A 13,223-nucleotide genomic window follows, 5' to 3' on the forward strand; every position below is an offset into this window, starting at 1 on the left:
CCTGAGCTGTCAGTGGCTCTCATGGGTGAAAGAGCAGGCGGCAGCTTTGCAGATGAACACTGCCCAGCACAGCCCAGCTCTGATCTGGGTCACTTCTCAGAGGCAGACACACCCCCCGACGGCCGCCCCCCACAGTAACCTGAGCCTCCGGACCTCGGTTTCCGGAGGAACATCACGATCTCTCTTGGAGGGAATGTCTGCTAGCCGCACCGCAGAACCAAATGTGCTGATAAACCTAGGCCAGGTTGAGCAAGCCTGGGCTGCTCCCGCCAGGCCAGAAAAAAGAGGCATTGTCTGCAGCCAGGAGCCACCACATGGGCTGTACCCATGGGCATGTCTTGGGGCCATCCCTGCCAGGCCTTCAGTTTCCTGGGTTGTAAAACAAGTGGCTGTTCCAGGCCTCGGGGGCAGCCAAGGCCTCAATCTGGAGCAGGTGGCGACCCCAAGCCCCCACCCCACAGGCACTGATGCACCCCAGCTCCGCTTCTCCTCCCGACCTCCATGGGGCCATGTGCTTGTTACAGCTCCCGTTTCCTAGGTGGAAGACTGAGGCTATTTGCACAGGGAGGAGCAGGGCAGCGGGAAGATGAGCAAATGCCACTTCCATCTTCCACGCCGCTGCCCTGAGCAGCCACGGGAGGGAACACCTCGCAGCCACTGGCACAGCCAGTCCCCAACACAACACTTGGTGGCACCAACTCCTTCCTCACAGCGCCCCCGTGAGGGATTCTGTTATCATCCCCATTCTACAGCTGGAGAGACTGGCACAGAGAGGCCGAGCAACTTGCCCAAGGTCACACAGCCAACAAGGGCACAGCCTGGATGCAAACCCAGGCGAGCCACCTCCTGTGTCCAGCTCACCCACTGTGTCCTGGGACCCTGTCACCAGCATACCCATGCCTGCTGCTTAGGTTAGAGGAGACTGTTGTCTCTCCCACCAGGCTGGAGCCAGGCCTTGCAGCCCTCCCATCCCATGTCCCTGCTCACAAGACCAGGCCAGGTCCTGCCAGCCAGAGGTGCCCATGGGCCGCCGCGGACAGGCTGTGGGCATCTCCATGTCCACTTGAGAGCCTGCTGCACACTGTCCACCCCGGGCCCAGGAGGAGACGAAAGGCCACATCCTCACCTCCCTCACGGCCCAGCTCCGTGACCTCCCTCATCAGAACCCGGAATCTGGACTCCAACCTGTGCTGCTGCATTTCCTCTCCCCCCACAGCCCCAAACACAAGATCCATGAAGCAAGAGTCACACCTTTGTGTCCCCCAGAGTCCCAGCACACTGCACATGGCAGGTGCTCAATAAATGTTTGCTGAATGCATGAACATGCTAAGAGCAAAATCGCAGACGTGGAGCTGAAGCTCAAAGACCAGTTTGCAAACAGAGAGACTGAGGCTGAGAGCACAGACAGGGTGTGCTTAAAGCCCAGATTTCGGGGTACCACCTACACCAGGCCAGGTCCATCAAAGGCAGCCGAGTGTCCCAAATATCAGGTAACTGACCCCAGGTCCACACAGCCGGCCGGCTCCACTCCAGGTCTCCAAGTGGCCGAGAACTCTGATCCCCACTCCTGGAAGCCCCAGTGCCAGCCCCCGTGGCGAGACTGTAAGGCCGTCAGTGCCACTAAGGAGCTGTGTGGCCTCTGCCAAGTAGCCTGCCCTCTCTGGGCCTAGTTTCTCCATTTGTCAAGGGCACCCGGCAAACCTGGGGCTTGCTGGGGGATGAGTGCAACCCGGGTTCTGCAGGAGTCACCAGACGCGTGGGGAAAGGGCGTCCGGGGCCTGGGGCAAAGCCGGGGTAGAATCCGAGAGCCTCCTGCCTCTGGGTCCTGTCCCCTTAGCAGGGCTGTCTGAGGGGACAGCGAACAGCAGGCGGCAGGTGGGGTCTAGGGCCTTGTGGATTTGGTTCTCGGCAAGAAAGGCAGGTTCAAGCAAGGCGTCCTTCCTGGAAAGTCCAGACTCCCCGAATGGGGCTTCATGCACTCCCAGGCACAAAGGGGTTCTCGGCCACCCAAACTTGTCCTGCACCCTCAGGCTTGGAGTGGGGAACAGTACCAACCCCCGCCAGGGCCAGTTCCCCCACCTCCAGAGACTGGCGTCGCCAGCTGTGTTCATTTCCTAGGGCTGCCATAAAAATGACCACAAACCAGGAAACTTAAAACAACAGTGATTTATTTTTATTTTTTTATTATTTTTTGACAGGGTCTCACTCTGTGGTCCAGGGTGGAGTGCAGTGGCACAATCATGGCTTACTGCAGCCTTGACCTCCTGGGCTCAATTGATCCTCCTGCCTCAGCGTGGGACTACAGGCAAGCCGCCACCACATCCGGCTAATTTTTGTGCTTTTTGTAGAGACAGGGTCTCGCCATGTTGCCCAGGCTGATCTTGAAATCCTGGGCTCAAGTGATGCGCCCACCTCGGCCTCCCAAAGTGCTGGGACTATAGGCATGAGCCACCTCGCCCGGCCAACGACAGCAATTTATTCTCTAACAGTTCTGGAGCCTGGAAGTCCAAAATCAAGGCGTCAGCAGGACCCTACTCCCTCCAGAAGCTCAAAGGGAGGCTCCTTTCTGCCTCTTCCAGATGCTGGTGGCTCCAGGCATTCCTTGGCTTGCGGCTTCAGCCCTCCAATCTCTGCCTTTGTCTTCCTGTAGTTCATGTAGTCTTGCTCTCTCCTCTTCTGTCTCTTCTAAGGACACTGGTCTTTGGATTCAGGGCCCACCTGGGTAACCCAGGATGAGCTCATCTCAAAACACATCTGCAAAGACCCTTTTATCAAATACGGTCTCTCTCTGACAGGGGCTGGGTTACTAGGACATGGACCTAACTCTTGGGGGTATCACCACTCACCCCACTCCACCAGCCCCCGCCTTTTCTGACATTGCCCATTTCCTGAAAGCTCACTCCCTGCCTAGCTCTGAGCCCAAGCCCCAGCGGAACCCCATGAAGCAGAGGGGGAAACGGAGGCACAGGGAGTTCAGCCGATGCCCAGGGGACCAAGTGGGGCCAAGGTTTGAACCTGGCTTTCCGAGTGGCCCCAACACAGTAGCCGCTGGGTATTGGCCTCCCTCCAGTTTACAGGAAACAAGGGACTCTCACGCCCACGCCTCTCGGCCGAGGGCCAAACTGACAGTGAGTCACCCCCACTCCACAGGCCAAGAAGCTTGAAGCAGCTCATCGAGGGGGACCAGACAAACGGTGGGGCCAGGGAGGGCTTCCTGGAGGCTCAGCTTGCTCCAGTGTCAACAGGGGAGCAAATCCCACCTCCCGCTGCTCTCTCGGGAGGACTCAGCGAGACCCTGGAAGGAGGCAGCTTGGCACACAGGCCCCTGGCAATCACCACCTCCCTGGTTATTAGCAGGCCTGGCCCAGCCCACACAGCTGCCCACCCAGCCTCTGACCCCAGCCACAGAAAGGGCCCATTATGACATCACAGGCCAGGAATTATGTTATTAGCCTGGGAAGGAGGCTGGCCTCAGGAACAAAGGGCTCATTGTCATGCAAATGAACGACTCCGGAGGAAGAGGGCAGTTCCTCCACTCTGGGGTGCCCCTCCTGCCCTCTAACTTCTAAGCCACACTGGAAACTGACCCCCAACCTTCAGAAGTGTGGGCATCTCTGGGCCTCTGCTCTGGGCTAAATGAGGCGCACTCTCTCAGCCTGGGAAACGGGCCCCTGCCAGTTCTGAGCCAGATCCCCAGAAAACAGGACCCGCCTCGGAAGATAGGGATAGTAGAGGGACTTTTGGGGATGAAACAGGATGATCCCCTTAACATGCTAAGCATGACCTTGAGCAAAGAAGCAACTGCCTTGGAAATGCCATTCAGTTGGTAATACTGCAGGCCTGCAGCTGTGTGTCTTTGAGCAAGCTGCCTACCCTCTCTGTGCCTTATCAGGAGAGGGTGACTCTGTGCCGACTTTACAAGGCTATGGGAAGGACACAATGAACTAAGGTATGTGGAATGCTCACCTCGCCTTGGTCCTCAACACACAAGGCTGAGGCTGTCACCACCCCTCCCCCACTCCCCGTACCTACAGCATCCCTGGGTTCCTTCTCATGACTGTATCTAGGAGGGGTAGCTCTCTTGGGATGCTTGGTGGGTACCCCAGTGGCAGTCAGAGAAAAAGCATGAGAACTTTTCCTGGTTTTCCAAATCATCCCCAAAATGCAGGGCCTCCTTCACCAGAGAGGCCCCATTTATGGGGAGGGGACAGGCTGAGGCCCCGTGGAAGACACTGAGTCAGGCACAACTGTCTCCTAAGTGCCTGCTACATACCCAGTGCTGGGGACACAGCGGTGACAAAGATGAACAAAATCCTGGATGGAGGGGTGCTGGAGTGTGAATGTTTATGTCCCCCCAAAATCTGCATGTTGAGACCTAATCACCACGGGATGATGTCAGAGCGTGGGGCTTCTGGGAGGTGATGAGCTGTCATGAGTGGGATTGGTGCCCCCAGAAAGCCGCCCTGCCCCTCTTCCTGGGAGAAGCCACCATCTATGAACCAGGAAACGGGCCCTCGTCCCATGTGACACCAAATCTGCCAGCATCTTGGTCTTGGACATCCAGCCTCCAGAACTGTGAGCAATAAAGTTCTATTGTTTGTGAGCCACCCAGTCCAAATAGACTAAAACAAGGTGGGGACAGGGGTGATGGGCATACCGCAGACCCTGGTGGTGACAGTGTTACAAGGAGTAGTGAAGGTGTCACAGGGAGTCACAACTGACATCAGGCCTCTCTCAGGAGGCGCCATTAGCAGAGGCCTATATCAGGGAGGCTGAAGGTCTCAGGAAAGGGTGTTCCCAGAAGAGGTTACAGCCAGGCCGGGTGTGGTGGCTCATGCCTGTAATCCTAGCACTTTGAGAGGCCGAGGCAGGTGGATCACTTGAGGTCAGGAGTTCAAGACCAGCCTGGCTAACATGGCAAAACCCTGTCTCCACTCAAAATACAAAAATTAGGCATGGTGGTATGCGCCTGTAGTCCCAGCTACTCAGGAGGCAGGAGAATCGCTTGAACCTGAAAGAAAGGTGGCCACAGCTCTGCACTCCAGCCTGGGGGAGTGAGACTTTGTCTCAAAAAAAAAAAAAAAAAAAAAGGTTATAGCCAGTGCAAAGGTCCTGAGGCAGGCCCATGATCAGGGGCCCCAAAGAACAGCAAAGAAGAGGCTCATGAGGCTGGATGCCCCCAAACCCTATCCCACCCCCATCTCTCCAGACCCTAAGCTACGACCCATGCCCACGGGACACAAGCCTCCACCACGCCACTCTGATGACAGGAACACCCTTACAGCAGCTCAGTCATGAGGCCCCCACAGGCCCTGCAGGCACCACGTGTCCCCCAGCCTGGGATGCTCTGGAGCCCTCTGTGATCCTGAGGCACAAAGCAAACTCTGCCTGGACCCCCTGGGATGTCCAAGGGACCAAGCTCAGTTACAGGCCAGCTTCATGGGGGAGTCCTCTACTAAAAATACAAACATTAGCTGGGCTTGATGGCATGCGCCTGTAGTCCCAGCAACTTGGGAGGCTGTGACAGGAGAATCGCTTGAACTCAGGAGGCAGTGGTTGCAGTGAGCTGAGATCGTGCCACTGCACTGCACTCCAGCCTGGGTGACGGAGTGAGACTCGGTTTCAAAAAAGGAAAAAAAAAAAAAAATCAAGATCCCAGGATCCTGTGTGCCCTTCACCCAGCCTCCCCCAAGAATAACATCCTGAGACAAACCTGAGACAACGACAATTCATCATCCATATCATAACTAGGAAGGCAGCATGGATATAGCCAGCCGTATGCAGATTGCAGCAGTTTCCAATGCACTCACTTGTGTGAGTGTGTGTGTGCATGTGCGCATGTATCTGTGTGGGTGTCTGCATGTGAGTATGGGTGTGTGTGCACGACTGTGAGTGTGCATATGAGTGTGAGTGTGCATGTGAGTGTGAGTGTGCGAGTATGCGTGTGCATGTTCGTGTGACTGTGTGTATGGTGTGTATGTTCACAAGTGTGCGTGTGAGTATACATGTGGGTGTGTGCGTGAGTGTGCATGTATGTGTGTGCATGTGTGAGTGTGCGCGTATTTAGTTCTATGTGTTCTTATCACATGTGCAGACTCCAGTGATCACAACCAGTCCATGCTGAGCTGCCTCGTCACAAAGGCCCTGGTGCTGACTTCTGTTCTGAACCTCACCCAGGACTCTTCTCCACCGGGTAGGAAAATCGAGTCCCTGAGGACTTTGGCAAAGGTCAGGGGCAGCCACGACACAGCTCTGTGGCCAACCCAAGTGGACACCAAGGCCCTGGGGGTGACAAGGGGACATGGATGAGAACCCCCCCGCCTTCGGAGGCCATTCTCGAGGTCCCAGGAGAGGCCCCATGACAATGAGACAGCGGGCAGCTGGTGCGGGGGGCCTGGACGCCCGGGGAACTCCCCACTGGCTCCTGCTGGCCCAAGAGCGGAGGCCCTGAGCCAGTCACTGGCCCAGCATCCGGTGTCACTTACAAACACAGGACGGCTGCCACCTTCTGCAGGAGAACTGGCCCTCCCGCGCCAGTCCCCAGGCCACACCAGGCACTGTGGGGGGTGCCTGGCCCAGGGCTGGCACGGAGGGGCTCAGGCTGAGTGGGAGACGGGGCAGAACAGGCAGGCATGGGGGGAGACCTGGGGATCCCAAACAAAGGCAGAGCCTGGGAAGCACCCACTCGACCTACCTCCCATTATCTGGACCCAGGTTTCTACAAAACATGAGAGCTCTCTGCAAAGAAGAAAAGAAAAATGGACGGAACTCGAACTTAAATCCAACCTTGTGGTTACAATTACGGAGGCCCACCCAGGCCAGCACTGTGCGGGCCCCTTCAGGCTTCTCTCAGGCTCTCCCGAGACACACCGGCAGGCTGCAGTGCTACCACTGTGGTAAAGGACAAGGAAACTGAGGCTCTGTGGGATTCCGGGACTTGCCCAAGGTCACACCATCCTTGAGGGGTCGAGCCAGGACTGGAACCTCAGTCCGGCCACTACAACTTCATAAATACCATCGCCCTGAGATGCTGAAATCCCAGGGGCCCCCCACCCTCAGACCAGGTGCCGGTATTGTCAGCATCGAGAAAACAAAGTGCCAGTGAATTATCAACTGTGAGCCTATTATGAGCTAGAAGGCAGGTTTCATTCACTCCCTTAAGCCATACAGCCTATGAGGTGGGGAAAGATGCAACTTCCATTTGCCAGATGGGAAAACTGAGGCTCAGAGACAGTAAGTGACTTGCCCAAGGTCACACAGCCAGGAAGTGTCCAACCAGGACAGGAACCCAGGCAGTCTGCCCCGCGTTCCCCCTAAAACTGCAGCTCCTTCTCCCGTCAGTCCCATGCTTGTGTAGACCCCACTGTGCCCCATTTTACAGACGAGGAAACTGAGGTCTGCAAAGGGGAGGCAACACGCCCAAGGTCACACAGCATAGAGAGGACGGAGCCAGGACTCAAACCCAGGTCTGTGGCAAAGGAGCAACATTGCCTGGAAGCCCAGCCCCCTCCCTTCCCCAGCCTGGGCTCAGAGGTCCCCAGGAGCCATTCCCGCCACCTCCCTATGGCCGCGGCGCACCCAGACCTCAGGACAAATCACTCCCTCATCCCCCCGGTTTGCAACTAAAGGCTCCTTGTGAGCTCGGGAAGCCCTTCCAACTTTCCAGTGTTTATCCCGGCTCCTCGCTGCCAAGTCCCTGGGCAAGCCTGGGCCGGTGGCGCTGATTTCAAACCAGACATGGGCACCGAGCCAAGCGCCACCTCGGTGGGGAGCCGGGCGCCGGGGCCGGGCTGCAGCGCTGCCTGCACCTGGCTCTCCCCTGCCTGAGCCCACCGCGGAGCCCCAGGGCAGAGCCTCGGGAGCGCCCACGATCACATGCCCTCCTGAAGTCAACTCCGGGAACAGAAGCCCCCTGAGCCCCCAAGGCTCGCCATGCTCCCCCCCAGGGACGCCGGATGTGCACCAAGGAGAGGAGCACAGTGCCCACCCGGGTCCCCTCCCACGCGGGCCGGCCAAGAAGCCTCACCCCGGCCTGCCCGGCCAGCGCCTCCGAGCGCTCTTTTCCGTGACTGCAGCAACTTCGTCCGATGAGACAGCCCTGCCCACCATCCCGCTGAGCTCAGGGCCGACAACACTGCGCTGCCAGGGGAGGGTCCAGCTGCCCCCATTGGCTGACCTGCGGCCGGCCACTCAGCCCCCAGCCCTGGCCACCACCTCCAGCGACAGAACTGGGGCTCTTTCCAGATGAATTCCTCGGCCCCCAATCAGCGCCCCTGCATAGAGCCTGCAGGCCACAGCCCCCCACCCCAGTCTGCGCCCACCTCCCCCGGCCGGGGTGACCCAGCCACACTGCACCTCCCTGCCCACTCCAAGCCCGGCGACTTCTCTTACCCGAGCACATGACCAACCTCGCTCACGTCAGCTCCAAACACAACTTGAAGTAACTCTCTCACAAGAAAAAAAAAGAAAAAGAAAAAAAGTGCCAGCCAGCGGGCCAGCAGAGTCCACACACACAGGCTGTGCTGCCGGCTTCCAGGAGGCACACCACAGCCAACATCAGACCCATCCTTCCTCCAGGATGACACCCGCAGAGGGGCGGCCCCAGAGGGCGGCCTCACCTTCCCGCGAGACTACGACTCCCATCCCGGCCCTGGAGGCCCTGCAGGGCCAGGCCAGGCCCCCCAGGCTCCCAGCCCGATGCCCCCCAAACCCGGGCAGGCCAAGGCCCACCGGCGACAAGTGCGGGGCCGCCTGACCCCACGGCTGGGCCGTGAACGAGACGTCGGGCCTCCAGCGATCCGTTCTCGCCTCTGCCACTCTGGGCCTATAAACACAGGGAATTACATAAGTCCACTCCTCTTGTTTGGAAGCCAAAAGTACGAGCTTTTTCTCCCAGCCTTGGCAGTAAGTAATAATTCCTCATCGCCATGGTAACCCTGGCGGGCTTCCAGCCGACACTCGGGAGCTGAAACACTGTGAGGCCTTTTTATAGCTCGGCTCTTCGCTCGCTGGCAGGCGAAAGAGAGCTCCAGCCCCGCTTCTCCCACTTTAACCCGCTTCCTCCCAGCCCGGACTGTCCAGCTTCGAGCCGCACCTGCACCTCCAACCTGAGCGTAGCTCTGGCGCCTTGGCTCCGGCCTGGTTCCGAACCCAGGCCTCGGCCCATCCCTCCCCCGTCCTCTGTCCCGAGGGCCAGATGGCCAGAGGAGCAGGCTCTCCCTTGCAAATATTTCTGTCCTCCTTTTAATCCTAGGAAAAGAAAGCGTGACCCCCTCACACTGGCATTCTGATCTGGGGTCATCTCGGTGACAGGCCTAGAAAAGAAGACGTGGCCAAATAATACACACACACACACACACACACACACACACACACACACACACAGGCCAACAATGATGGCTTGGTAGTCAGCCAGGAGTCTGAACCTTGGCTGCAATTAGCTGTGTGACTCAGAGACAAGTCTGAGCTTCTCTGGGTGTCAACTTTCCATCCGTAGAAGGGGCAGGCTGAGCTCTGCTTCTCCAAGTGCTCTGGAAAGCAGAGATGAGGCGCCAGAGGAAGCTGCTGGAGCTCCCAGGAGGCAGAGGAGGCTCCACCAGGGTCTCCAGATTCACTTCCCTGCCCCTAGCAGCCAAGAGTTGGGCCTAAGAATGTGTCCCTGGACAGCAGCCCACATGATGACAAGGGTCTGGGGGTGCAGATGTGAGGAAGGCACCCCTGGCAGAAGCATGGCAGATGTGAAGGTCTGGAGGCTGGACCACGCGGGTGTGTTGTCAAAGCAGAGAGAAGGCTGGTGTGGCCGGGGCGCAGGGGCGAGGCGGGGAGAGTTTGACGATGAGGTCAGGGAGCTAATAGGAGTGGAGGGGAAGTGGTCAGATGGACTCTGGGCCTGGCCTTCAACTCCAGCAATAACATTGTCATCCTTTTTACTCTCAGGAGCATCTTGAGAGTAATAATATTAATAACAATAACAGTGGCCACACACACCGAGCCCAGCAGCTCGGACTGTGTGCCCAGCACTGTGCTAAGCGGGTCCCCTGGTTCACCAGCTGGCCTCACACCACCGCGGCATAGGCAGGTATGCCCCTGAGCCGCCACACACAGACAGAGCAGGAGGCTGGCCCAGAGAGGGTAGGTGACTTGCCCAAGGTCAACAGCTAGTGGCTGAGCTGGGACTTGAACTGGGCAAGCCTGGCTTGTCTCCGCTATCCACGTGGTAATTCAGCCACAAGGAGTCACAGGAGGGTTTCAGGACTAAGACCAGATTTGCCTGTGACAGGGGCCCGTGGCCACTGGACTGGCAGGGGGCCCAGACTGGCCACGAGGGGATGAGCATAGTGGCTGCGGAGGCCCCTGGAAGCCAGATGTCTCCTGTGAACAGCTGGCCCTCTAGCCTTCCCCAGGAAACACCCCTGGGGGGTTTCCGTAGACCTGCCCCAAAGCCAAAGGTGGGATTCTGCTACTCTTACGCCTTCTTTTATAGGTAGGGAAACTGAGGCACAGGAAGGCACGGGCATATTTTTAGCCCAAAGATCCAGCACCATCTTCCCGCCCAGACCGTCGCCAAGACCAGGCGGGACCATGACACCCAGGCCAAACTGGCCCCATGCAAACACCACCAGGAAGCGGTGCCTGAGAGCGGCCGAGTCAGGCCTCACCACCTCCTTCTGTTCATTTTTGTTTGTTTTGGACACAGACCTGCATCCAGACCTTCGCCAAAGGCTGGCCCTGGAATCCACGGTAACTCCTCCCACCCCCTCAGAGCGACTGTGTGCTATGGGCAGGTTTGACACTGGGCATGTCTCTTCACGGCCACTCGTTCTGCTTCCTGTGTCTTCCCCGCCAGACACTCCGCAGCAAATTGTTTGTTGAGTGACTTAATGAAGACCACAAATCATCAAACACCAGAAACAGCCACAGGCAGCAGCCCCCAGACAGAGCCTGTGGCCAAAACCAAACTCATATTCAGAATAAGCCAGTGTCTGGTTATCTGCTCAGCAAAAGAACTCCCCATCACGCAAGCCTTCGACGGCGACCACCCCTCCATACTTCGAAAAAGCATCCCCTGGCCAAAATCTGCCGACAGGCCGCTTCCTGGAGCCCGTCTGCTGAGCAGAGCTTTGACGGTGGGAAAGATCGGTGAAGACCCCCCAGAATATGATTCACCGCAGGCCACAGGGGCCAGGACAGTGGGCCAAAGGGGGTCTGGAAAGGGGCAGGGGGACCTTAAGCTGAGTGGCCCCAGGCAAGGCCCCCAGCCTCTCGAGGCATCAGAAGGCTCAGCTGGCGAATGGGGGAGCTCCTGCCTGCTGCCTCTCTCGCAACCCAGGTCAACAGAAACTACATGTGTGGGGCCCAGGGGGGAGGTGGGGGCCAGAACTCTGAGGACCAGATCCAGACCCACAGCCGCAGCTACGCTTCAGCATCCGGCTCCAGCTGGAAGAGACCCCCACTCACTTCCTCCCCACACACTGCTGCTTCCTGGCCAGGCACAGATACGAGTGGAGCAGGGTGGGGGCAGGAGAAAGAGACAGCACCGTGAGCCAGACACGTCTGGCTATCTGCACCTCCTCAATCCCGGGCCCCAGGGCTCCGTGACCTGGGCAGCCTCAGTTTCCTCATCTGAAAAGCCACTTAGATATCAAATGGTTCTATTGATGTATGCCACACAATGGAATTCCGCCATATAAAGGAATGAAGGACTCACACCATTCAACACGGATCAACCTCAAACACATTGTGCGGAGTGAAAGAAGCCAAAACCCACAGTGCATGATTCCGTCCAGGAGAAATACCCAAAATAGGTAAGTCCACAGAGGCAGAAGGCAGATTGGTAGCTGCCAGGGGCTGCGGGAGGCGGCAACGTGAAGTGACCCCACCGGTACAGGGTTCCTTTTGGGGTGATGAGGACATTTTTTGGATAGAAGGGGTGGGTGCTCAACATTGTGATTGTACTAAGAACTCATGAACTGTTCATGTTAAAATGGTAAATTATATGTGATGTGAATTTCACCTCAACTGAAAATAAATAGGCCGGGCGCAGTGGATCGCTTGAGGCCAGGAGCTCAAGACCAGCCTGGCTATCATGGCAAAACCCCATCTCTACTAAAAATACAAAATTCAGTCAGGTGTGGTGGCGCATACCCGTAATTCCAGCTACTCAGGAGGCTGAGGTAAGAGAATTGCTTGAACCAGGAGGCAGAGGCTGCAGTGAGCCAAGATCATGCCACTGCACTCCAGCCTGGGCAACAGAGCAAGGCCGCATCTCAAATAAACAAATAAATAAACAAAAAGATGGTGTTGCTGAATGCACACCACTCCAGCCCAGTTTACCGACTTCCTGAAAGCTGGGTCCAACTCCCAGCAGGTAGGAGTTCCTCACCCAGGCCTGGAGCTATCAGACATTCGAGAAGCATCTGCTGAGCCCCTACTGTATGTGCTGAGCACTGGAAATATGGCAGTGAACAAGACAAAATTACATTTTACATTTTAATTTTAAAATACATGAGTGATTAAAATAAAGTTCACAACTGTATTCGTTTCCTGTGGCTGCTATAACAAATTATTACAAATTGGGTGGCTGAAACCAGCGACCTATCCTCTCACAGTTCTGGAGGCCAGAAATCCAAGCTCAAGGTGTCACCAGGGCCACACACCCTCCAAAGACTCTGCAGGGGGAGCCTTCTCTGTGTCTTCCAGTTCCCAGTGGCTCCTGGCGTTCCTTCCGTCTTCACGTGGACTTCTCTGCTGTGTGTCTTCTCTTAGAACACTTGTCATTGGATTTAGGGCCCATCCTATTCCAGGATGATCCCATCTTGAGACCCTTACCTTAGTGACATCTGCGAAGACCTGTGGTCCAAATAAGGCCAAGGTCATATTCACAGTTTCCAAGTGTACCTATGTTTCATGGGCCATGACTCAACCCACTACCAAAGCCAAGACCTCAAAGTGGCAGCAGTCGCATGCCCGGAAACACCTTTGGTGCCCCTTTCCTTTCCCGCTAGTTCCAGAAAACTGGCTGGAAGCTGCAGAGGAGAGCTCCAGGGATCTCCGGGATGGCCCCAGGGCCCCCCTATAGCCGACAGAGCTGGAAACAGACCTGAGAGATCCCACAGCCACCCTCTCCGGCCTGAGCCTGCTAAAAACTGGCCCCAAGGAACCCAAATCCCCTTCCCTGTGGCAGGCATCCATGAGCCAGCCACTCGTGGGCAGCTTGAGGAAAG

General features: G+C 57.1%; 1 protein-coding gene and 1 long non-coding RNA gene across 4 annotated transcripts in view, besides 4 other annotated features; one reads left to right on the top strand and one right to left on the bottom strand.

Annotated features, from left to right (window-relative positions):
• The window catches only part of NCOR2 (nuclear receptor corepressor 2), a 243,198-nt gene that overhangs the window by 185,334 nt on the left and 44,641 nt on the right, over positions 1 to 13,223 (bottom strand). The gene's annotated exons all lie outside the window — the stretch shown is intronic.
• Positions 2,555 to 3,103: an enhancer, noted in NCBI's record as "H3K27ac-H3K4me1 hESC enhancer chr12:124996849-124997397 (GRCh37/hg19 assembly coordinates)". NCBI's record gives its function as "activates a minimal SCP1, AML or CMV promoter by ChIP-STARR-seq in primed H9 embryonic stem cells {active_cell/tissue: H9 hESC(primed)}" and the evidence as "EXISTENCE:reporter gene assay evidence [ECO:0000049][PMID:30033119]".
• Positions 3,104 to 3,652: an enhancer, noted in NCBI's record as "OCT4-H3K27ac-H3K4me1 hESC enhancer chr12:124997398-124997946 (GRCh37/hg19 assembly coordinates)". NCBI's record gives its function as "activates a minimal SCP1, AML or CMV promoter by ChIP-STARR-seq in primed H9 embryonic stem cells {active_cell/tissue: H9 hESC(primed)}" and the evidence as "EXISTENCE:reporter gene assay evidence [ECO:0000049][PMID:30033119]".
• Positions 3,295 to 3,589: an enhancer, noted in NCBI's record as "tiled region #612; HepG2 Activating DNase unmatched - State 5:Enh". NCBI's record gives its function as "activates a minimal TATA promoter and a strong SV40 promoter by Sharpr-MPRA in HepG2 cells {active_cell/tissue: HepG2}" and the evidence as "EXISTENCE:reporter gene assay evidence [ECO:0000049][PMID:27701403]".
• On the top strand, positions 3,474 to 7,050 carry LOC105370047 (uncharacterized). Its single transcript, NR_188646.1, has 3 exons — positions 3,474 to 3,949; positions 6,095 to 6,193; positions 6,715 to 7,050. It is a non-coding gene; the product is annotated as an uncharacterized LOC105370047 (long non-coding RNA).
• Positions 11,265 to 11,817: an enhancer, noted in NCBI's record as "H3K4me1 hESC enhancer chr12:125005559-125006111 (GRCh37/hg19 assembly coordinates)". NCBI's record gives its function as "activates a minimal SCP1, AML or CMV promoter by ChIP-STARR-seq in primed H9 embryonic stem cells {active_cell/tissue: H9 hESC(primed)}" and the evidence as "EXISTENCE:reporter gene assay evidence [ECO:0000049][PMID:30033119]".

The sequence above is a fragment of the Homo sapiens genome, chromosome 12 (genome assembly GCF_000001405.40).
Source record: "Homo sapiens chromosome 12, GRCh38.p14 Primary Assembly".
Taxonomy (NCBI): Eukaryota; Metazoa; Chordata; class Mammalia; order Primates; family Hominidae; genus Homo; species Homo sapiens.